This window comes from Homo sapiens, chromosome 13 (genome assembly GCF_000001405.40).
Source record: "Homo sapiens chromosome 13, GRCh38.p14 Primary Assembly".
Taxonomy (NCBI): domain Eukaryota; kingdom Metazoa; phylum Chordata; class Mammalia; order Primates; family Hominidae; genus Homo; species Homo sapiens.
This window is the reverse complement of record NC_000013.11, coordinates 28,203,917-28,229,104: the sequence shown is the minus strand read 5'-3', so window position 1 is coordinate 28,229,104 and position 25,188 is coordinate 28,203,917. Positions and strand designations below refer to the sequence as shown.

The following is a 25,188-nucleotide window of genomic DNA, read 5'->3' as shown; positions in this document are numbered from 1 at the left end:
AGTCATCATAGGAGAAACTTCCAGGCTTGGGTCATCCCATCTTCCCATTCTTGCTCCTTCATGCTCTTCCCCTTCCTTTCTAGCTCACTTGAGAGATGCTGAGAAGCTCTTCCCCTGTGTCCCTTATAAGCTATGTGAAGAGCATCCTAGCCAACCTGAACACCTGCCTTGGAGTGTTACAAAAGCAAGAAATACATTTTTGTCATATTAAGCCATGTCATTACATTTTGGATCTATTTGTTTGGGCAGTTTAACTTACACCACCTCGCACACAGTGAGCAATAAGATTATGACCTATATTAACTATGGCTGAGAGAGCAGCATATTAACTATGGCGGAGAGAGCAGCTGATGAATACACTGACACCCTTTACACCAATACTAATTAACATCAATAGGATGTTAATATATTTAATCTTAATGTTATTGTTTACTGTTAATTTTACTGTTTTCTCAAAGGTACCCCCACCAAATGACTACTAGTTATTAGTTACTATGTATAGGGATACCATGCTAAAATCTAGACAACCACATGTAAAATATAGAAAAGTGCTTATGAAATCCTAAGAAAACATCTTATTTCAGACATATCAATATGTAAGAGATTCGTGACTGAAAAATTTAGAACTAAACATTATTACCATAATAAATATGCAATCCACATCTAGGTTGTTGCAGGCATTTATGAGTAGGATTTACATGCCTATATGCATTGGGGGTTTGAAAAAGGCCACATCTATAATTCCTCTCCTTTTACTAAGACCCTACCTACATGCCCTACTCTAGAGTAACTACATCTGAAAGGCAGTAAGAATAAGAAAAAGATGAATTTCATGGTCAAGCTGAGAAGAATCAAAGGATAATTCAAGAAACAGAAGGGGCTACAACCATCTGATTCATTCCTACAGAATTAGAGGACCACTCCTAACTAGACATGTAACACACAGAACAGTAAATTTATTCACACAAATACTATCTTCTCCACTGAGTAGGCACATTGCTCTGGGTATCACTGAGCTAAAAGGTTGAAGAAAAAATGATCCCTGGTGCTCTCAACCTACTTGACTAAAGAAGAAGGTGGAAGGAAGATCGACATCTAACTCTCCACGTTCAGCTATGAAACAGATCGGAAACATTCTCGGGCATTCATTTACACCTGTTCTCTCTGCTTCTCAGTTCATCCAGAACAAATACAATACTCTGATTCACCCCAGACTCTAATCTTACATTTGCTGAAACAAAACTCCCCTCATCTCCACCTATGAAACAAAGGGAGCCATGGGAAGATTTTCTATTTACACAGAATAAGTCAAGAAGTCCATATGCCTTCTAAAATCTTTCTTAAGTCTAGTACAAATGTTATCCTTCCCTTTTTACTACTTCGCACCACTGTCTTCATTTCTGTCTCTTTACTGTCCTCTATGCTTCTACAGATTTCCATGTCTCAAAAACACAGAATTTTAGATTAGAAAGACTTAAAATCATCTACTATTACCTTCTTATAGAACTGAAGACTCTAAAACACAGAAACCAAGCGGTATGCTGAAAATCACATAGCTGCTTCAGTAGAACTGGTACCATGTTCTAAAGGCAATCGAGTCATAATACACTGAAAGCAGTCCAAGAGCAGCAAGAGACTTTGCTGCAGCTGTAGATCACTGGATCGGTAACTCGTAGTTAAAGGAAATCCCTACCCACTCCCATCCAGCCCCTACCCCCTAATTATGGGACAAAATAGCCAATTCAATGAGATTTAAACAGGAAGTTCACAAGAGGAACTCTTATACCTATGAGGACCCATTAACCAGGGATTCCACAACCAGTAGAATATTATCTACTGGTAGCTATTTAAGCCTTACCTGACAGGTCTCCAAGCCAGCTGCAGCAGCCACATCCCTCTCTGCGCCATAAACGTCTCGCCTCAGTTTCCTGAAATTCCCAACTGAGAAGGGAATATAGCCAGCAGGCACTCCCAACCCTGTTATGATTCTACAGTTCTACTGTTAGTAAATTTCCCAGGGGCATCACAATCTGTGTCCTTACACATGCATACACAGAGGAGCTTCCTTCTAGGATGAGCTCCTCATTACAGGGCAATTAAAAGGTCCACTTCACAAAAACCTTGAGATCCCTCATCTTAATCATAAAATAGTTGTTAATTTACTTGTTTTTTAATGAAGAAAGCAATCTCCAAACTAAATAACTTGGAAAGATTTGAATGAATCTGCTGAATATACCTGAAAAACAAAGTAGTTACAAAGAATGGAAACATGCAATTTAAAAATACAAATACTTTAATTGGTTATAAGAGTGCTTCAGCATCTCAAAACACAGTGTCTAGTTTTGATGCTGTTAAACTTTTTCACCAGGCACATTTCTGTTCCTCATTTGACTATTCACCTGCATATTCTTGAACATTTGCAGTTTTTAGAAGTTCTTCAAAGATGTTTATTAATTAAAATTCACTGTACTTAAGAGATACCTAACAATTACAAAATTATTTTCCAAGACAAAAATTAAGCCTTATCTATTGAGTAAGCATTTATTAAACACCATTTATACCTAAATTTGTACTAGATGAGAAATGGCATGGTCCCTTCTTCTTAAGCAATTTGTGAGATGTTTAGGAAATCTAATTAATTAATTAGAAGGATACTTTAATGCCAAACTACCATTATTGATATTAAGTACAAAACTAATTTGAAGAATTCAATTTAGACAGAAATCAAATTAATTTGAGCTGTAATTATTTGACTATCCCACAGAATCCATTTAACAGTAGACTTCTGAGAAACAATTACAAGGAAAATCTGTTATGTTTATTAAAACTGGTGATATTTAAGAACCATATAAATATGGTTACAATTTTTATTTTTAATAATTATATCACTTAGTAAACACAAAATAATCTAAAGCAATCGCTTATGGAGTTTTTGTGCCTTGAAAGACTTAACGTAGAGCCCTAAAACGCACAATGAAATTTAAAGTCTGAGCTTAGATATTCACCATCTTCAAGACCATAGATTCATCCTGTTTCCCCAAAAAAAGAACAGTTTCCAAAGAGTTTCCTGTTTTCCCAATGGTACACTCCTTAGCTGGATACCAAAGTAGTAATATAGCTAGGTAGACATATCTGTGGATTTAATTTTACCCACACTAGTGTTCTATTCCTTATGACTTACAAGAGTTCACAATTTTGGACCTATACAATTCGTTGAACTGAATAATACTTCTCCCCGGTTGCCTGACGCCACCTTGTCTGTCTTACAAATAAATCAGTTATATGGACACACACAGAACTAGTCTGAAGAATAAAATAACTAAAAGAACTATCATATAGGAAAGTTTTTTTTTCCCATTCAGCAAAAAAGGAGAGGACTAGGACAAGTGGATGGAAGAGAGACAAGACTTTGGTTTAGCAGAAGACTGAGTTTTCTTTTGTATTCAAATTGTTAAAATGTACACTGGGCTGGCTGCCTTGGTTAGTTAATGAATTCCTTATATTACTGTAAATGACTAAGCAGAGACTAGATGACAATCTGTCAGAAATGCCACCTCTAGATTGGCGCAAGGCTGGACTATGTAAATCCCAAAGGTTCCACTTAAATCAATAACCAATATCATGTTATTGCCTAATCCAACTACTATGTAATTTAAATACCTAATACCTCCATTTGCTCATCTATGATATGAAATGCCATAGAGATAATCAATCACGGAATTTTGTTTTTTGGCACAGAACTTTAAACTGAAAACGATCTGCTTATCCCAACCCTTCAACATTATAAGAGTAAATAACTATTTTTAGTCTACAACGTTCATAAAAAGTTTTGATATTTCTGAACAAGAACGACAAATATTAATTTCCCCTTTTTCTTTCCCTTCCCTTTTTCCCTCACATATTTCTCAAGCTAAAAATGTTTATTTAAAAAAAGGGTATTAGCCAATTTTACCCACCAATTTGGCACCATAACCTCAGGAATATATAAGAAATGACTTTTCCGTATTTTTAAAAAACTGGATGTAAGAACATAATTTTCTTTGGATTTATTTTCCCAAAAGCCTACAATAAATAAACTTGGTAATAAATGAATACAATTATTTAATAATGCTAATTTTGGTATAATAATTAGATGATTCTCCCCATATCAATCATATGAGTTTGCCTTAATAATATGCAACAAAGGCTGAGTGAGGTGGCTCACCCCTATAATTCTAGCACTTTGAAAGACTGAGGAGAAAGGATCACTTGAGGCTAGTTTGAGACCAGCCTGGAAAATATAGTGAGAACTCGTCTCTACAAAAAAAATTTAAAAAGAATTTTTTAACTTGGCATGTATCTGTAGTCCCAGCTACTCAGGAGTTTGAGGTGGGAGAATTGCTTGCGCCGGAGCTGGAACTGGAGGCTGCAGTGAGCTACGGTCATGCCACTGCATTCCAGGATGGACGACAGAGTGAGACACTCTCTCTAAAGTAATAATAATTTACAAGAAAACATATCTAATGATTAAAAAAAAACTGCACTATTTTCATCTTGAAGGAATGAATATTGACAAATGCTGAAAATCACTGTGACTCATTTTCTCATTTATAAATTAATGATGACATTTGCAAATATAAGAACTCATCTCTGCCCCTCCTAAGGGCCCACACATGATAATTAAGCAGAAGGAGAGATGCTCAATTCCTGAGACACAACTGTGCACTAAACCACCAAATGATACACAAGAACACCATGCAGAAATGTGTGCTGCTCCTGCTGCACTTACAGTCACTTTCAAACACACTGTGACACTGTAAATTTGTTAACACTGAGGTAATTAAACCTAAAGTACACGAAGACTTAGTTAACTATGTCTACTATTAAAAATACTCGGGAAAATTCTGATGAAAAAGGACATTCAGCAATTAGTTCTCACGATAAAATTACTTTTTGGCCGGGCGCGGTTGCTCACGCCTGTAATCCCAGCACTTTGGGAGGCCGAGGCGGGCAGACCACGAAGTCAGGAGATCGAGACCATCCTGGCTAACATGGTGAAACCCTGTCTCTACTAAAAATACAAAAAAAAATTAGCCGGGCGCGGTGGCGGGCGCCTGTAGTCCCAGCTACTCGCGAGGCTGAGGCAGGAGAATGGCGTGAACCTGGCAGGCCGAGCTTGGAATGAGCCACGCACTCCAGCCTGGGAGACAGAGAGAGACTCTGTCTCAAAAAAAAAAAAAAAAAAAAAAAAAAATCACTTTTCATGGCACAAAAATTAAAGTATAAACTATTATTTCATATATTAAGCACATTCATAACTTCGTTTCCAGAGATCTAGTCAAAAAAACCCTCTGCCTAAGCCAGAGCTACTAGAAAAATGTATCTTTAGGCTATGTGTTACTTAAAAGTATTCTTACTGTATAACACTCTGGAAATTAGTCTTAAGTTGTGTTAAATCAGTGGTTCTCCAGGAGGTGGAGGTTGCAGTGAGCAGAGATCGCGCCACTGCACTCCAGCCTGGGCAACAAGAGCAAAACTCCGTCTCAAAAACAAAAAACAAAAAACAAAAAAAAAAACAGTGGTTCTTAAATTTTGGAAGGCTGTGAACCTCTGAGAGAATAATAAAAGCTGTTGCCAGAGAAAAATGTCTATTTATAAATAAAAATATGCATAACTGGAGGGATTCTTAAAGACAAGCCCAAGTGCCATATCTTTAGTATCATTAAAACAACTAACTTCACAAAAGATACTTAGAAATGTAGCTATTGTTCATAGGTTCAATATGCATAACAAAACTGTATCTATAAATCCTTGATTCCTTAAATTAAAAAATGAGTGTGTATACAATTTGATAGAAATACATGTCACAAATTTTAACGCTTTTTAAAAACCTAATTAGCTGTGAGTAAATTCAAATATTTGTATAAAGTTTTATTTCTTACATTGAGACATATACCAAAAACATGACTTATTTTTTCTTAAGTGATCAAAACAAATTTTTAAAAAGCAATGTGATTCACTCAGGGTCTCCTTTGTGCCAGGCATTATGCCTTTGTTCCTCATAATTTGAGGAAACCCACTCTTAATATCCACTCAACTTTGCTCAAATATTGGGACAAAATAAACTGGCCTAAAAATTTTGACAAATATATTTGGTCAAAAATATATTTAGATATGTACTTTCCCATACGTAATGAAAATGATGTTACCCTAGTTTACATAAGTGTCAAAGTATTTAAGGTTTCATATTTTATAGTAATTTGATACTTTCGAGGGCAATAGTTTTGGGGATAGAAACTTTAAATTAAAAACTTGTAACTAAAATCAATGAGTTACACCTATAATAGACAGTAAGAATTAAAAATAAACTAAATCACCACTACCGTAGGTAAATAAACTCTTTATTTATTCTATAACCTTACACGGCAAATGTCAAGAACCCTTCCTTAAACAAAACAACATTTGTAGGTAAGAAATGATGGAAGACACTGAGAGTACAATGGTTTTTCCGAAAGGCAGACTTAAATATTTTTTCTTTGCTCATCTCCAGAGTGTTAAACCAATAACCAAACAGAAAAAATAATTAATGCAAAATAATTCATCATTGTTGAAAAATATTTTAACTGAGTTGTCATCTGAATGAAGAGCACTTTTAAAATAATAGTCATTAGAATTCAAGAATACATTTCATATGATATAATGACCTATTTCCAATGGTTCCAGAGAGTGATCACTTTCATTGTTAAGAGGAGCTAGAATAACCATTTAATGCTAGGGCTATGTAGAAGAATAGATTTTCAGCTAATTTAATTTTTAAATTAATTAATTTCACCCTAAGTTTCTATTGTGAGGTCCAATTGGGACCAATGAATATACCTACCTCCAAATAAGCTTATACCTATACCATAAGCATTAATGGATTTTCTTAAACTGAATGTTTTTAAATTTAAAATTCCCTTTAATATTTTTAACTCCTCCAATTGAAAAGGCTAATTTTTTTTGAATGGCATGTCTAAATTAGTTTCATGAAATAAGTTAACAAAATGTTTATTTCTGATACGAGGAAGGAAGTATTGTTAGGGCAAAATAAACTGGCATGTAATTAAGGCCAAAGTTTTCTGATTGCTATATGGATCCCATTATTGCGGATGCTTTGGAAAGAGACATATAAAGTTGAATTACAACACTGCTCAGAAGTCTAGACAATGCCTAAGAAATTTTAAGATGTGTAGCTCATTTGCAGATTATGCTCATGTAAACAATGTGAACACACCTCAACAAGAGAAAAATCATAGTAGTATATTACTTACAATAAAACTTTAAGGCTACCAGAGATATTCAATTCTGACACTGCTCTCTAGGGAAGAAAGGAAAATGCTTACAAATTTAACTGAACCTGGAAAAAAACCAAAGTAGAAGAAAAGGTAAGGGAACAAGTGGTGGGAGGGGAGTTGGAAGGGAGACAGGTAGTAAGAGAAAGAATGGTGGGGAAATGAGGCGCTGACAAAATCCTTAGCAACACAAGGTTATTAAGCTCTGAGTACTCTGATACTTTAATGCTAAAACAGATGCTCTGCGCCACTGTGTTATCTTTATCTTCTCCCATTTTTCTTCCCAAAGAGGTCCTTGAATTAGATATATGAGTATTTAAATCAACGATTTACTTACTAATTAGATTAAGCCCTGGAGACAGTACCAGTTCCTGGCTGATCTAGATATATCCTTTGGCTTTGTTTTAGTGTGTGTATATATTTCATTTTATTTCTGTTTTTTTTTTTAATGTCCAAGACCAAGTGATGATTTTCCTGTATAGGTTCTAGAAGCCTAATTTGTGTGTGCAACTCAAACATTCGACAAACATAAGATACCAATCTGCTCAGCACTTACTATGAATTCAATGTGATTGTGCATACCACCTTACTTTCCAAATCAAGGTATACAGCAGTGGGGATAAGTGATGTTAATTTTAAAAATTTAAATATTTTTATACTAAAATAAACATTATGGAGTAGCAGATGCAAAATCTGCATGAATTCTTAAGATAAAAATGAAGACTGCAAAGAATCATAGATTTCTCAAAGGGTCACATTGAACTATGCCTTCAGGACTCCTGGAGTACAAGCACATTTGCCCAAATTGTTCTGTCATTATGGGTACACTTTATGGGTACATTATGGGCAGAAGATAACTAAAAAGTGTTTTTCTCTACTGCAATGATCCCTCATGTAGTATATTTTTTTCCTACTACTGTTTATAATACTTTACCCAATTTAAAATTACTACTATAGCATTTATAATCAAATATCTGAAAGGGAATACCATCTAAAGATGTAGAATGATTAAATTATTTTTTAGAAATTTAATGTAAAAGGAGGACTCTGAGGCATATGTACATAAATATTCACGTTCTTTCTGATGCCTTTGTAAGTTTGAGTGAAACAGCACAAAGTTTTAAAAATAGAGAAATACAAAAAGATAGATTTTTTCCTAAATAACCATTTCCCCTTTAAATTTTTTTGTGAGTTTTATATATAAAAATTCTTATATGTAATTTCATTCATATTTAAATTTTGCTTTAAAATTCTCAACTACACATTTGGCCTATGGTACCAAAAACTAGAACATAAAGCTCTTAATGTTCAAATGTGAATCATTCAAGTATACAATTTCAGTTCTGATAAATTAATAGTAAATGGTGCTTACAGACATGGTATCTGGAACTCACTGGAAATAGTTACTCAACTTACCTGGCGCTAATCCAGCAGTAGCAGGGCTTCCCATGGATGGGTGAGAGAAAACTTGAGAGAAGGCAGACATATTTGACTGGGACACGTTACTCAGCCTGGAGGTTGATCCTCCTTTAGGAATAAACTCGCTTGCAGTAGGATTTGGTGTCTATTTAAAAATCAAATATAGTAAGTTAACACACTTTAAGCCGAAAAAAGACATTGAATCTACTAGGCATATTCCACAGTGCTTTATTTACTAAGTAAAATATATTATTGAAAGGATTAACAAGTGTTTTCGGTTCCATATTTTGGTGTGTCATAATTATATTTCTTAAAGGAAATCTGATCATCAAATTTGAAGACTTTAATCATTTCATTTGCAGAATTTTAACCTCAGTAATGTGTAAAATTTGTCTTTATTATCAAGCATGCATCATTACCAAACTACTAAGTTTTAGAGAACTGGGAGGTTGAGATTACCTCAAAACTGAGCAACAAATTTCAAGTTTAGTATCTTTAAACCACTTCTACCAAGATAAAGGTCAAAACTGCCTTTCTTCCAAAATTAATCACTTTCTTTTTTGTAGGTACTTCAAACATTTCCCTAATAATATGGTATCATGTATTTAAGTAACAAAGTAAAGGTTAGAGAAACATTTAAAAACACGGCAAATATGGGAGGAATCAAGATATAAGAAAAACTAAAGCGATCCTAATGCCCATGCAGTACCATGCGTGACTTGTTACACTGAAAAATATTTGGCTATGAGATTACACGGAAAACACCTTTTTCACAGTGGTACTATGCTACAACTCTTTATATATTCAAGTGGCATGCTATTTTTAGCTTTAAGAAATACTAGAACATATGAGACTATACATAAGATTCATAAAAAGTCTATATAATATTGCCCACATTAAATTTCCACAGGAGGCAGAAAGAACAACTTCCCTATTTAATTTGAATGAGTTAAGAGTTCAAAATACTAGATCTGGAAGGTAACAAGTCACCAGGCTAACCCAAATGTAAACTCCAAAACGAGTATTATCAGTTATGTGCCAGCTAAAGTTAAATAAAAAGTGATAAAATATAGAACAAATGCTAAATCTGGGCTTAATTAAAATACACTAGAACTACAGAATCAATCTTTTACTGCCACATCTAAGGCATGAATTTCTGAAAAAGTATAATCAGGTCTGAGGCTATATTTTCCAAAGGGGAAAAAAATCCTCTTTTGTGACTTAAATGTGTTTTTAAAAAATTTCCAACTATAACATTCCCGAAAACAGTGGCATGTTCTCTAAACAGATGGCCAATTCCTTGATTTCTGGAGAAGAAAACCAGCCACTGCATTTTACTAACGTAGTACCTTCCTAGTTATAAGGGAACAAATGGCTACCAACAGAATGAAAAGTATGTCAGGGCCGGTATGTCCCAGTTAAACCTAAATCTTAGAAGTTGAGGGTCAAGATAAAAGCCATTGATATCTTGATAAAATAGTCCAAAATGCCTAGAGACGTGGACTTCAGGATTACGCAAGATTACCAGGAGACAGCAAAATTACATAAGGAAAATAATACACAATATGAATACTTTTAGTGTGTTCCTGAGAAACAGGTATTACCCAGTTTCTATTTCACATATATCCTATAATTACAGTAAATAACAGACTAATTTCAAAAATGAGTTTCTCTAACCTTATTATTTTGAAAGAGTATTTTTATTATTTTTGAGACCCTGTAAAGGGGAAAAAAGAGGGGAAGGTCCATTCTACCTTTCATAACAAATTATAAAGGACCTCCAAATATGTACGAGTGGAAGTTATTAAAATTAACCTAACTATTAAGAGTTACATACAACACTGTAACTTCTACAGATTCAATAACCACGGATGCCAAAACCTACTCAACAATGAATCTGAATTAAGAACTGAAAATGATGACCTAAAACTCTCCTTCCTTTCTTGATTTAGTATTCCTTGATTTGGTGATTTGAGAGTTTGTTTTGTTCAACTGTGAGCACTTGAGATTAAAGATAAAATAATTTAAATGGCAGAAAAAATAATTATGTAAGATTCAGGTACAACAGCACACAAAAAAGATCTTTAATAGATAATATAAATTAATTGTAGCCAGATCAGAAAATGATCAGATACATTTAAATTAAAAATCAGAAATTAAGACCTTACCTAGAATACTTTTTCATGATAAAAATCTTTAAAATAACATGTAACAATAAAGATGCATTCTTAAAACTTCTACTGGTTTAAAATATAAATCTTTTTTTAAAACTATAAAATCTATTAAAAATAGCATAGGTATATATTTTTAACATGTTAAGAATAATTTTTTGAAAGATAAGGCTAAACTGGTAACTAGAACAAGTATCACATTAAAATGAAATACCTGTTGAGAAAAGAACCTATTTCTTTCAGGTGTAGGAGGCAAAGGTTTTATCTAGGATTAGATGACATAAGAACTTGAGTTATATAAATTATAACTTCAACAACAATAAGGAGTTTGGGATAAATAAGAAAAATAGAAATAAAAAAAACTAAAGTTTTACTATCCCTGACCTATGTTTGAATAATCCTTTCCTAAAGACAGATATTTCTCTATAATATTAAATTTTTGGTTTCTGTAAAATATACAGATATGCACTCATTTATATTCATAATTAAAACCCTAATTTACGTTTATATTTTAAATAGTTCTAAGTGGACATTTTAAAAAAATTAATGTTCATTCAATAGTCTAAGATTCTCATACACTCAAATTTACCCCACAATTTTTTTTTTGTTTTTTTTTTGTTTTTTGAGACAGAATCTCACTCTGTTGCCAGGCTGGAGTGCAGTGGCACAACCTTCACTCACTGCAACTTCCGCCTCGCAGGTTCAAGTGATTGTCCTGCCTCAGTCACCCTAGTAGCAGGGATTACAGGTGTGTGTCACCAAGCCTGGCTAATTTTTATATTTTTGGTAGAGGCAATGTTTCATCATGTTGGCCAAGTTGGTCTCAAACTCCTGGCCTCAAGTGATCTGCCCACCTCAGCCTCCCAAAGTGCTGAGATTACAGGCGTGAGCCACTGTGCCCAGCCTGCCCCCCAATTTTCATGTCCAAAACAACCAAGTGCTTCTTATATAGTGAGTTCTCCAAAATGACATCATCCCCCAACTTTCAAAAATGATCCCTACTGCTACCTTCTAGACCCAAATATAATAAATCAAGAATCCTGACCGTTAGCTTAAATGTTGTTGTAATTATTATCATTTTTTTTTTTTTTGAGACAGAGTTTTACTCTGTCACCCAGGCTGGAGTACAGTGGCGTGATCTCGGCTCACTGCAACTTCTGCCCCCCGGGTTCAAGTGATTCTCCTGCCTCAGCCTCCAGAGTAGCTGGGATTACAGGCGCCCGCCACCGCACCCGGCTAATTTTTGTTTTTAGTGGAGATGGGGTTTCACCATGTTGGCTGGGCTGGTCTCGAACTCCTGACCTCAAGAGATCTGCCCACCTTGGCCTCCCAAAGTGCTGGGATTACAGGCGTGAGCCACCACACCTGGCCTAATTTTTTTTTTTTAATTAGATGGAAAGACAAGAAGTTTCTGTTGAATGATAACGGAACGTAAGATATGTAACATTTCATTGCATATATGGCCCAAAAAGGCCTATAAGAAAAAAATTGTTATCATACAATGATGGGATGAATGAGAAACTAATATTCCTGAATACTGGTCAGGGTTATTTTAATCACATAGTAAACTCATAAAACTATTGGACAGCTCTTTAAAGAGCTCGGCCTGCTTTAGCTATCTTAAGGGCTCTGTAAATTGGTATCAGTAATCTTTCCATCCTCTGAATGAAAACCTAACCTGGTGACTTTTTGTTAACAACTTTATTTAAGATACAATTAACATGTAATACACTGCACATACTTAAAACTTTGGTAACTCTTGACACAGATATACAACCTGGAAACCATTACCCAAATCAATATAATGACCATAAACATCATACTAAAGTCTGCACAGGCCTCTTATAAACCCCTCTCTCCTTTCCACCCCTCTCTGCTCTCTGCCCCCAAGTCTCCAGGAAACCACTGAGACTTTCTGTCACTATGAATTAGTCTGCATTTTTAAAAATTTCACATAAATGGGTCATACACATATATGTATTTTTTACCTGGCTTTTTTTTTTTTCTCACTAAACTTTGTTTTAATGGGTCTCAAAATTCTGCGACAGAATTTCGGTCAAGTTGTTTCCATTAAAACGTACTGATTTAAAAAACTAGTAAAACTACCACATGCAAAAGAAAAAAGAAAAAAAACAAAAATGAAGTAGTTCACAAAACATTCTCCTTTCCTTCTGAAGGTTTTAAGATGCATTGTTATCTTTAACCAGTCTTTTACTATTAACTTAAATGGCCAACTGAAACTAACAGTCCTGAGACCATTCTTCCACCACTGATTAAGACTAGAGTGGCAGGTATTAGGGATAATATTCATTTAGCCTTCTGAGATTTCTGGGCAAACCTGGTGACCTTGCCAGCTCCAGCAGCCTTCTTGTCCACTGCTTTGATGACACCCACAGCAACTGTCTGTCTCACATCACCAACAGCAAAACAACTCAGAAGAGGATGGTCTGAGAAGCTCTCAGCACACATGGGCTTGCCAGGAACTATATCAACAATGGCGGCATCACCAGACTTCAAGAATTTAGGGCCATCTTCCAGCTTATTACCAAAATGGCAATAAATCTTTACCTTCAGCTCAGCAAACCTGGATGCAACATGGGCTGTGTGGCAATTCAGTACAAGGGCATAGACAGCACTGATTTAGCCTGAATGGTTCAGAATAATCACTGAGCAGTGAGGCCAACTGCCTTCATTCGTGGGTCATTTTTGCTGTCAACAGCAACACTCCCCCAACGAACATCTTTGACAGACACATTCATAACATTGAAGCCCATAATGTCTCCAAGAAGAGCTTCACTCAAAGCTCCATGGTGCATTTCAATAGACTTCAGTTGTAACGTTGACTGGAGCAAAGGTGACCACCATAACGGGTTTGAGAACACCAGTCTCCACTCGGTCCACAGACACAGTACCAATACCACCAATTTTGTAGACACCCTGGAGAGGCTGGTGCAAGGACTTGTCAGTTGGACAAGCTAGTGGGAGGATGCAGTCCAGAGCCTCAAGCAGTGTGGTTCCACTGGTGCTGCCATCTTTATGGGTGACTTTCCATCCCTTGAACCAAGGCATGTTAGCACTTGGCTCCAGCATGTTGTCACAATTCCAACCAGCAAATGGCACAAATGCTACTGTGTCAGGATTGTAGCCAATTTTATTAATATAAGTGCTGACTTCCTTAATGATTTCCTCATATCTCTTCTGGCTGTAAGTTGGCTCAGTGGAATCCATTTTGTTAACACCAACAATTAGTTGTTTCACACCCAGTGTGTAAGCCAGAAGGGCATGGTCGCCAGCCTGCCCATTCTTGGAGCTACTAGCTTCAATTTCACCAACACCAGCAGCAATAATCAGTACAGCACAGTCAGCCTGAGATGTCCCAGTAATCATGTTTTTGATGAAGTCTCTGTGTCCTGGGGCATCAATGCTAAGTCATGTAGTACTTGTTGGTCTCAAGTTTCTACAGGGAGATATCAATAGTGAGACCACATTCATGCTCAGCTTTCAGTTTATCCAAGACCCAGGAATACTTGAAGGAGCCCTTTCCCATCTCAGCAGCCTCCTTTTCCAATTTTTCAATGATTCTTTTGTTGATTCCACCACATTTGTAGATCAGATGGCCAGTAGTGGTGGACTTGCCTTGAATCTATGTGTCCAATGAAGACAATGTTGATAAAAGTCTCTTCCCATTTTGGCTGTTAGGGGTAGTTTTCATGACACCTGTGTTCTGGTGGCAAACTCGTTGCAAAAAAGTTGATTGGGTTCTTTCACTCAGCATGAAGATTGATCCACTTCACTGCACCTATCAATACTTCATTTGTATTGCTTATTAGTATTCGACATTATCAATATACTATAATTTGTTTATCCTTTCATCCATTAGATATTTAGATTGTTTCCAAGTTTTGGCTATTACAAATAAAGCTGCTGTGAAGATTTGTACACAAGTCTTTGTACACAAATACACGTTTCATTTGTAAACAAATACACATTTCATTATTCTTGGTTAAAAACGTAGCAGTGAATGATTTGGGCATATAATACGTACGTATATATAACCTTTTTAAGTTAGTAAACTGTTTTCCAAAGTAGTTGTGATTTTTTATTTTTTTTTCTTTTGGAGACAGGGTATTGCTTTGTCACCCAGGCTGGAGTGCACTGGAGAGATCATTGCTCACTACAGCCACTCAAGCGATACTCCAGCCTAGCTGTACTATTTTACTACATCCACCAGCACTGTATAAGAGATCAAGTTGCTCTATGTACTCAGGAATACATACTTTGGTTGGTCTTTTTCATTTTAGACATTCTAATAGGTGTGTAGTGGTATCTCATTGTGGTTTTAATTAGCATTTCCCAAATAACTTATTTGCCATTTTATATCTTCTTTGAAGTGTCCACATTTTTTGACTACTTTTAATGCATTTTTAAATTTTCTATTACGAAGTTGTGAGAGTTCACCAAATAGTCTGAAGTATCCCCCAACCTTTTTTTTTTTTTTTTTTGCTGTTTTTTCAAAAACATTTCTTTTGACATAATGTGAGACTCACAAGAAATGGTACCTTTTACCTTCTTTGATGGCAGGTAACATCTTACATAACCATAGTACGTTTCAAAACAGTAAACACTGGTGCAATAATTTTAGCTAAACTGCCCACCTCGTTTGAATTTTACCAGTTTCTGAGTGCATAAATGCACTCAATTTGACTGCATTTTTGCAGGATATTTTTTCCAAGTATGGAATTCTAGGGTGACACTTTTTTTTCCTTCCTGTATTTTAAAGATACTGTTATACTGTCTACAATTTGTATTATTTCCAGTGAGAAATCAGCTATCACTACGGTGGTTTTTCAGTATCCTCCAGCTCCTCTGCAGATACCAAAATCCACAGGTAATTAAGTCCCTCATATTAAATGCCTAGTAGTTGTATGTAGTCTATGCATATAGGTGCATACTCCTGTATACCTTAAATCATCTCTAGATTACTTATACCTAATGAAATATAAATGTTATATGGCATTCTTTATTTGTATTATTTTTATTGTAGTATGATTTTTTTGGTGTTTGGGTTTTTTTTCTTCCCCCGGTCCATGATTGGTTGAATCCAAGAATGCAGAACCCATGGATACGGAAAGCCAATGGTATTGTTATTCCTCAAAAATGGTTTTGTTTTGTTTTTTGGTATGGCTGCTTCTTTGATGTGCCTTGATGTAATTTTCTTCATGTTTATTTTGCCTGTGGTTCACTGGACACCTTGAGTCTGTGGGTTTACAGCTTCATCAAGTTTGGAAAATGTTGCCCATTATTTCTTAAAATACTTTTTCTGCACATCCCATCAGCCCCATCAGGAACTCCAATTATAAGGATATTAGGTCACCTGATGTTATCCCATGGCTCACATTTTCTCTGCGTGTGGTTTTCTGGGGCAGTTTCTATTGCTATGCCTTCAAGTTCACTAAACTGTTCTTCAATGTCTATTGCCATTAATCCCATCAAACATATTATTCATTTCAGACACTATAGCTTTCAACTTTCAAAGTCTGATTTGGATTTCTTATCTATGTATATATGTTTCACTCCTGTACTAACATGTTTAATCTTTCCTCTAAGCTTCCTCAACATATGAAATACAGTTATAATAATTATTGTTGATGTTTTCACGTAACTATTTCTGGATCAGTTTTGAATGATTACATTTTCTTTTCTTTATGGGTCTTACTTTCCTCCTCCTTTGCCTGTCTGGTACTTTTAATTACATGGTAAATAATGTGACTTTTATCTGCTGGGTGCTGGATATTTTCATATTCCTATAAATCTTCTTGACCTTTGCTCTCTGTTGTAGCTAAACTGCTTACAAATTAGTTTCATTCTACCAGGTCTTGCTTTTAAGTTTTGTCAGGAGGAACCAGGGAAGAATTTATTCTAAGGCTAATTTGGCCCCACTACTGAGGGAAATGGCTTCCAATTAGCCTTACTTGGTGCTTCACGAGTTACGAAGTTTTCCACGTTGGCCAGTGAGAACAGGAACTACTCCTGGCCATGTATAGATCTGAGAATTGTTGACTGTGATCTTCTTGGCAACTGCTTTTTCCAGCTCTGGTAGCCTCTTCATTCACATCCTGAATTCACATCAGCTAAAGATTCAAGAGGGATCCCTTGGTAAATTGCCAGAGTTCTCTCTGTATGTGAGCTCTCTCTTCTTCAGTATGTTTTCTTGTATAGTATTGCCACCTTAGCCACTGTGGACTTCCAGTTTGGTCTCCTCAATTCAGACAGATCAGCAGGCTCCACCTGATGTCCCCCTTTCTATACAAGGTTGGGAAACTCTCCCAAGGTAGTAAGCTGGGTTAATCACAAGGTTCACCTCATTTGTTTTCCATCTCTCAGGGATCACTGTCCTTCACTGTCTGATATCTCATGTCTTGAAAACTGCTGTTACATATGTTTTTGTTCAGTTTTTTAGCTGTTTCTGAAGAGAGGTAAGTCTAATCTCTGTTCTTTCACCTTGGCCAGAAGACAAATTTAGTGGTAATGTTTTGAAAATATTAAGGAATTTTTTGACTTTATCAATATATAAAGTTTAGCCAACTCTTTTTGGTTAGATTAAACACCCACTAGGAGAGAGGCGATCTACAAATACCATTTCAAATAACTTGTGAGCAATTCAATCTACTTTCTTATAAAGTCGGTTTTTCAAGTTTTGTTGTGCTTTCCTTACAATCTCTTTCCTAAAAAGATAAATCATGTCACACGCACAGTTCAACTAACTGTCCTTTTGATAATGCCCACATCTTTGAAGCACCAAGTCACAGTCTATTTTACATAAATATTTCTCCAATACAATTATTTCTATCCATGCCACTGGGAGTGACTAGGCAACAGCAATGAGCAGTGAATTATCTGGAAAAGCAGAAGAGAGGGTACTAATAATGAGAAAGAAAGACAGGGTGGAGGAATTTTTTTTGCCTTGTTAAAGTGATCTAAAAAGACATAAAAAGATGAGACCCAGCCAGGCATGGCCGCTCACACCTGTAATCCTACAACTTTGGTAGGCCAAGGTGGGAGGACTGCTCAAGGCCAAGAGTCTGAGATCAGCCTGGGCAACAAGAAGAGACACTCTCTCTACAAAAAAAAAAAAATTTTTTTAAATTAGCCAGGTGTGGTGGTACGCACCTGTGGTCCCAGCTATTCAGGAGAACTGCTTGAGCCCAGGAGGTGAAGGCTGCAGTGAGCCATCTCTACACCAGTACCCTCCAGCCTGGATGACAGAGCAAGACCCTGTCTCAAAAAAAATAAAGATGAGATCCATGGACCTAAAGAGCAGCCCAATTCAGACCTAATTTTACTAGTCTCCAGTGTTAACAAGCAACACAGGATAAAGAGGAACAGAGGGAGATGGAAAGGAGTAGTCAGATGGTAACAAGAATCCCCAGGTTCACATAAGGTTTTTTTTGTTGTTGTTATTTAATGAATTGTTATTTCCACTTATTTCAAGCACATACAAATATGGCCAATTTAAAATGTATTATCAAAATATACTCAACTTCTGGGTTAGTCAGAAACTGACCTATTTAAAACCTGCAAAGTTTAATTAAAAAAAAAAGTTAAAAGTGACACCTAAATACAATGACTATTGTAAAATTAGTCTAATAATATAGTTTATAAACTTTCTGAAGCAAACTAAGCCCTCCGATTTAAGCATCTCAATAAAGGAAATATAATTTTCTAAATCAGATAAAATTGGTGGAGACAGCAGAAGAAAGCTAATTACTAGTATTTCCAAAAGATTCATATTAGCATTCTTCTAAATAAAAGTTCTCCTATTTATAACTTGACAATCTTAAGAGGAAAGTAGCATGTGTATGTTGGAACCCGGCAAATGAAGATCAATTAGTAACAAGCTTTACATTAGAATGGAGGAAAACAAAAATTTTTATGATCTCAGCATAAAGCAATTCTCTGTACATAACAGCTTGACATTATAGACATGTAAATTTCCAAAGACAGTTGTTAGCTCATCCTTTACAAAGTTTGCCAGAAATGGATAATACTATAAACATCTCTAACAATCTCCTGGTGTACCTTTTATGAGAACAGTTTGATAATATTATCAAAACGAAAAATAAGGCCGTGCAGTGGCTCACACTTGTCATTCTACTACTTTAGGAGGCCAAGGGTGGAGGATCACTTGAGCTCAGGAGTTCAAGACCAGCCTGGGCAACAAAGCAAGACCCCCATCTCTACTAAAAATTAAAAACAATTAGCCATGCATGATAGCACACACCTGTAGTCCCAGCTACTCTGGAGGCTGAAATAGGAGGATGACTTGAGCCCAGAAGATCAAGGCTACAGTGAGCTGTGATCATGCCACCGCACTCCAGAGTGGTAAAAGGAGAAAGGAAAAAGGGAAGGAGAAGGGGAAAAGAAAAAGAAAGGCAGGCAGGCAGGCAGGCAGGAAGGAGAAAAACGGGAGGAGACGGGAGAAGAATAAGCAAAGAATAAGCATGCCCTTGATCTAGCAAACTCACATCTAGGAATTAAAGCTAAGAAGAAAAATGACACAAGTAGATAAGGTTAGCACAGCACTTTTTTATTATAGTATTTTAAAAAAAGAAATAAGTAAAATATCTACCAGTAGGGATTTGGTCATGTGGACTGTGGAACATATCATAATGTATAACTATTAAAAATTATGAGTTGATATATTTTTATTAAACATGAAAAGAGACACCTATACTACTGATTCAGTAAAAATAAAAGATAAGCTAGAGAACAGCAATGAAACTAAATTGCTATTTATGTAAAATAGTTTCCTTATGCCTGAGAGGGAATGGGGGAATGCGTATGCACGCAGGTGTGTAAAAACATGCTAAAGATGGTCACTAAAATATATCAGACAAGTTATCTGTGGGTGGTAACCTGGCTAGGGACATTTTTGCCTTCTTCTTCGTACTCTTCTATAGTATCTGATTTTTTTCAATAGTATATACAGTCAGCACTCCGTATTCATGGGTTCTGAATCTGCAGATTCCACCAACCACAGATAAAAAATATTTGGGGTAAAAAAAACCAACAACAATTTTAAAAATACAAACAAAAACAATACAGTATAGCAACTATTTACAAAACATTTACATTGTAATAGCTATTCTGGAGGATGCACATAGGTTATATGCAAATATTATGCCTTAAGCACCCCAGTATTTTGGTATCTGCGGGTGGTGAGGAGGTTGTTGCTAGAACCAATCCCACAGAATACAGAAGGACCACTGTATAATTTTTACAAAAAACTTCTAAGAAAGTTCAAGATTTCTAAATCATAAAACCACTTACACCATTCCCTTTTTCATTTGCATATCATCGCTGAATGGAATTATCGTAAGAATTCACATGGATTGTACATTTAAATTCAGACCAAAAAAATCAATGCATATAAAAAGATAATCTGTATCCAAAGAATAGAAGACACTTAAAAATAAAACCGGATGTGTGCATCTGCTACAAACTAGGTATCCCTAATCAGAAAATCTGAAATCTGAAATGCTCCAAAATCTGAAACTTTTTGAGCTCAAACATGATGCTCAAAGTCAATGTTCAATGCAGTATTTCGGGCCAGGTCTTCTCAGGTTTAAGATGCTCAACCACTAAATGGATTCAAACATACCCCCCAAAAAAAAAATCTGAAACACTTATAGTCTCAAGTATCTTGGATAAGGTATACTGAACCTGTACTTAAAAGAATCTGAAGTTATTTACATGTAAAAGTGCTCCAATAACAGTAATAATTCATAATCACAGGGCATACCACCTAGTTTATTCTATCACTGTCCCTAAAAGGAGGAAAAATGTTTACTTAGGTCAGTGAATAAGTAGTACAGGAAAGTGAGACTATCACAACATTCCAAAGAGGCAAGAACTACTTTACACAGCTACGATTATTGCTACTTATGCATATCTTCTATCCATAGCCATATAACAGTAAAACCTATTTGTCATATTCCACAGTAATTTATAATACTTAGATGTATTCTTTCTAACAAAGAATCCTACCATATTAATCATAAATTTTAACATATATTAAGATTTTCAAATATTTTCCACGTTGATATTTTATTTAATGAAACTGTACCAAGGGAAAATTTACAAAAATATGTAAAGCATTAAATTTCAGGAACACATTAGGTCAAATATTCATCCAGCTAATCAATAATCCAGGTCCATCCATTTAATTATTTGAATACCTAATATATAAAAGACACTGTGCAAGGCAGTGTACTAGGCGCTGTGAGGAAGAAAGACATAAAACATAGACACTGTGTTCTACAAGTTCACAGGCTGACATTTCACAGGTATACAATGTATCCTGAACCCAATTCCACACTCTCAAGAACTCAGAACATCCATGTATCAAAAGACATATATTATCTACAATGTGCCATGATCAGTATATTGATATTAGTTTATGTGATAAGTTCTATAAATGAATAATTAGAATCTGGTAAGTGCTAGGACAATGTGAGCAAACATCTAATGCTGTTTAATTAGGCCATAAGACCGTATGTATGAATTCAATCTTAAAAGACAAGTTTGCTAAATCAAGACAGAAGGAAGGGTACATCAACCAAGGTGAATGTTCAAAAAGAATAGCCAAAGGAGAAGCAAGAACATGGAACTCTTCATGGTAGCTACATGGTACCACAAATAGTTCAATAGGAACAAGAGCAAGGAGCAGCTTGGATGCCTTCATAAGGGATTTTGACCTTTTTTCCCCCAATGACAAAGATGAGAGGCAAGATCAGACAATCAGGTAGTTGTTTGAAAAAGAAGACTAGAAGCAGGAAACCAGCTAAGACACCACAATATAATAATCCAAGCAAGAATTAAAGGTGGATCTACATTATAACTAACAGAGTAAAAATAATTTCAAACCAGCAACAGATCTTAGTTGCTGAAGGATATGGCAGGTAAGGAAGTGAGGGGTCAAAAAGAGCTCACAAGTTAGACACCAAATGATATCAATAACCAAGATATATGGTGGCATATAGTTGTGAATAAGTGTCTACAGATGTGTGTAAATGAAAAACAGGTTTGAAGAAAAATATACAGCGTTCATTTTATTTTTTATTCATTTATTTTTATTTTTTACAGGAACCCGCCCTGCCTCTGTGAGAGGGGGAGGATCCCTAACTTGGTGTTCATTTTAGACAGGTTGAGTTTTAAGTCCTATGTCATGGAGATGAAGATGTTCAGAAGAAACCAGAAATATAATAGAATGAGTGCAGAGGACTAGGAGGGGAAAAAAGTATCCAGGAGTCAAATGTGACTAGGAAGGAGCTGAAGTATTGAAGACATGTGAGATTACAGAAGAGCACTATGAAGAAAGAGTGAAAGAAAAAACAGTCAATGACAGAGCTTGGCAGAGTTCTTGAGGGCAGTACAAAGGCCAAGAAGTCTTACAAAAAAAAAAAACCCACTAATAACAATCTAAGAGCTAAGAAAATAAAAGTTTCAAAAAAAGAAGAATGGTCAACTGTCAATTGTAGCAGAGGGCAAGTAAGAGGAATGCCGTTGATTTTGTCAGTTAGGGGCCGCGTGTGGTGGCTCACGCCTGTAATCCCAGTACTTTGGGTGGCTGAGGCAGCTGGATCACCTGAGGTCAGGAGTTCGAGACCAGCCTGGACAACATGGCAAAACCCTATATCTACTAAATATACAAAATTAGCCGGGTGTGGTGGTGCAGCCTGTAGTCCCAGCTACTTGGGAGGCTGAGATAGGAGAATTGCTTGAACCTGGGAGGCAGACACTATAGTAAGCCGAGATCGCACCACTGCACTCCAGCCTGGGTGAATCAGTGCGAAACTCTGTCTCAAAAAAAAAAAAAAAAAAAAAAAAGTCAGTTAGACGATCTTATCAAAAACAGTTTCAATAGAATGGTGAAAAGGAAAGGGAAAATATTGGGAATTAAGGGATGAACAAAAGGTGAAAAAGTAGTCACCATAATAAGTAGGAACCATTTCCCAAATTGTATCGCAGAGTTTTCCAAATGTACTGACCAAAGAACCTTTTCCTCATGTAGCATGCTTTGTTGTGGGGTTCATAAAGTATCAGAAAAGATTTAAACATGGAATGCTTATAAGTTAAGAGGATGTAACCAACATAGAGAAATAAGAGTAATATTGAAGAGACACATGAAGGAATAAGTTGCTGGAAAAAAATCAAGATGGCCTTCAGTATATAACAAACACCTATTTGTCTGAGACAGGAGGAAAAATAAGAATATTAATGAAAATATAGATAGGTAGAAAGCTGATACATGAGGCATTTCTTTTCTTTTTTTTTTTTTTTTAAGAAACAGTTTTTTTGTTTTCGTTTTTTAAGAGGGTCTTGCTCTGTCACGCAGACTGGAGTGCAACAGTGCAATCACAGCTCACTGCAGCCTCGAACTCATGGGATTCTCTTGCCTCTGCCTCCTGAATAGCTGAGACTACAAGCACATGTCACCACACCCAGCTAATTATTATTTTTTCTTTTGTAGAGACAGGGGTCTCACTATGTTGCCCAGGCTGGTCTCGAACTCCTGGGCTCAAGTGAATCCTCCCGCCTCAGCCTCCCAAAGTGCTGGGATTACAAGAATGAGTTATCACACCCAGCCCACACTTTATTCTTTCTAAAATTTTTAAACTTTGTCACAGTAGACAGAACCACAATGAATTCTTAATGACCTTTTTTCTCCCTTCCATGAAGAACACAAGGTCATTACTCTAAAGTGATAGAGTAAGGGTTGAGTAGGTCTGAGAACATTAAAGATTTCGAGTATCAGCTAGAGAGAAGAGGAGGTCCAGGGTGAGATGTGTGAACAGAAAGTAGTACATTTACAGAAAGGCCACTGCAGCTGCATCATAGTTCTATAACTCTTCAAAGTCCCCAGGCACCCTAAGTAGATAGCTTGAAGCTTCACCTTTACAAAGTCCAATCCATTGCATCAAAAGCCTACATTATCCCATTTCCTGTGGCCTAGAGATTACAAATCACCTGAAGTAATACCAAAACCCAGTGAGTAAAGACGGAAGTAAATCTAGTGAGTTTCCAACCACCCACCGCCCCCGAGATCTTAAAGGAAGCAGTAACAAGCAACTAGAACTCACATGAGAATTTATAGGCCAAGAGATTTTAATGTAAGCATTCTTATAATTAAATACCTCTTACAAAAAATGCCATTTAATCAGACAAGGGGAAAAAAGTAGCATCAAAAGAGATGCTGACAAGGAGACAATGAAATCAAATGGATCCCCTAACACATGCACAGTCCAACAGTTCTTATTTAATTGTATCACTTCACTAAAACAATAGTAATATTATAACTTATGATTCACAACCACACAATTTTCAAAAGTCTGAGACAAAATTAGCGTGATTTTATTTAATGTATCACTACTTTTAGGTAAATCTTAACCTGCAATATTATGAGAAATTTACAAAATCATACATTTCCCAGAACCTTTCATTCAAAATGAAATGTAAAATCACAGGAAAAAACACATTAAGTTGTCCTTTCAAAAAAAGCATTTATTTTTCAAAATATTCAAGTGAGTTAGCATTTAAATGTGAGCCCTTAAAAGAGACCAAGTGTCACTGCCCCATTATACACATATCATGATTTAAGCACATATGAATATAACTGCAGGCTGTACTCTAAATAAATATAAACAAACATCAACTTTAGGAGATAAGGTGATAAGGTAAAACTGGACAATGGACATTTATTTAATATCTATTATGTGCTTGGAAATTTGAATCCTCACAACAACTCTGTAGGACAGGTGATAAAATATTTCAAGCCCAAGCAATGGCAATTTGAACTATGTAGTCATAGAACAAATAGAAAATGTTGAATTCACATACAGATTGGTCAGGCAAAGTGACAGGTAACCATCCAGTGATAGGTAAACATCCTGGGCAAAGACTAAAGGAAAGATCAAAGTGAATTTGCACTTAGGTGAAATGAAGTGTTTTTGATGTGGTGTCTCAGGTGATCTTCCATTCACCACCTGCTTGGTGTCTGGGCTGAGATGATGAAAAAAATATAAAACAGAGAAGCTGGTCGGGCGTGGTCGCTCACGCCTGTAATCCCAGCACTTTGGGAGGCCAAGGTGGGCAGATCACGAGGTCAAGAGATAGAGAGATCAAGACCATCCTGGCCAACACGGTGAAACCCCATTTCTATTAAAAATACAAAAATTAGCTGGGCGTGGTGGAGTGTGCCTGTATCCCAGCTACTCGGGAGGCTGAAA

The 25,188-nt window shown here is 36.0% G+C and overlaps 1 protein-coding gene and 1 pseudogene across 14 annotated transcripts in view; both read right to left on the bottom strand.

Annotated features, from left to right (window-relative positions):
• Nucleotides 1–25,188, bottom strand: part of PAN3 (poly(A) specific ribonuclease subunit PAN3) — a 157,143-nt gene that overhangs the window by 66,231 nt on the left and 65,724 nt on the right. For 12 of the 14 annotated variants that reach the window (XR_941549.3, XM_011535034.4, NM_175854.8 and 9 more), the window contains one exon: nucleotides 8,727–8,874. The exons of 1 other annotated variant lie outside the window; for it this stretch is intronic. Coding sequence is in view for 11 of the 13 variants with exons in the window: in XM_011535034.4 (XP_011533336.1) it covers nucleotides 8,727–8,874 (148 nt within the window). In the remaining 2 variants the exon portion in view is untranslated. Of the gene's footprint in view, nucleotides 1–8,726; nucleotides 8,875–25,188 lie in introns of those variants that run through there. One more of the 14 variants, XM_047430252.1, reaches the window with a different exon arrangement.
• On the bottom strand, nucleotides 13,028–14,650 carry EEF1A1P3 (eukaryotic translation elongation factor 1 alpha 1 pseudogene 3; annotated as a pseudogene).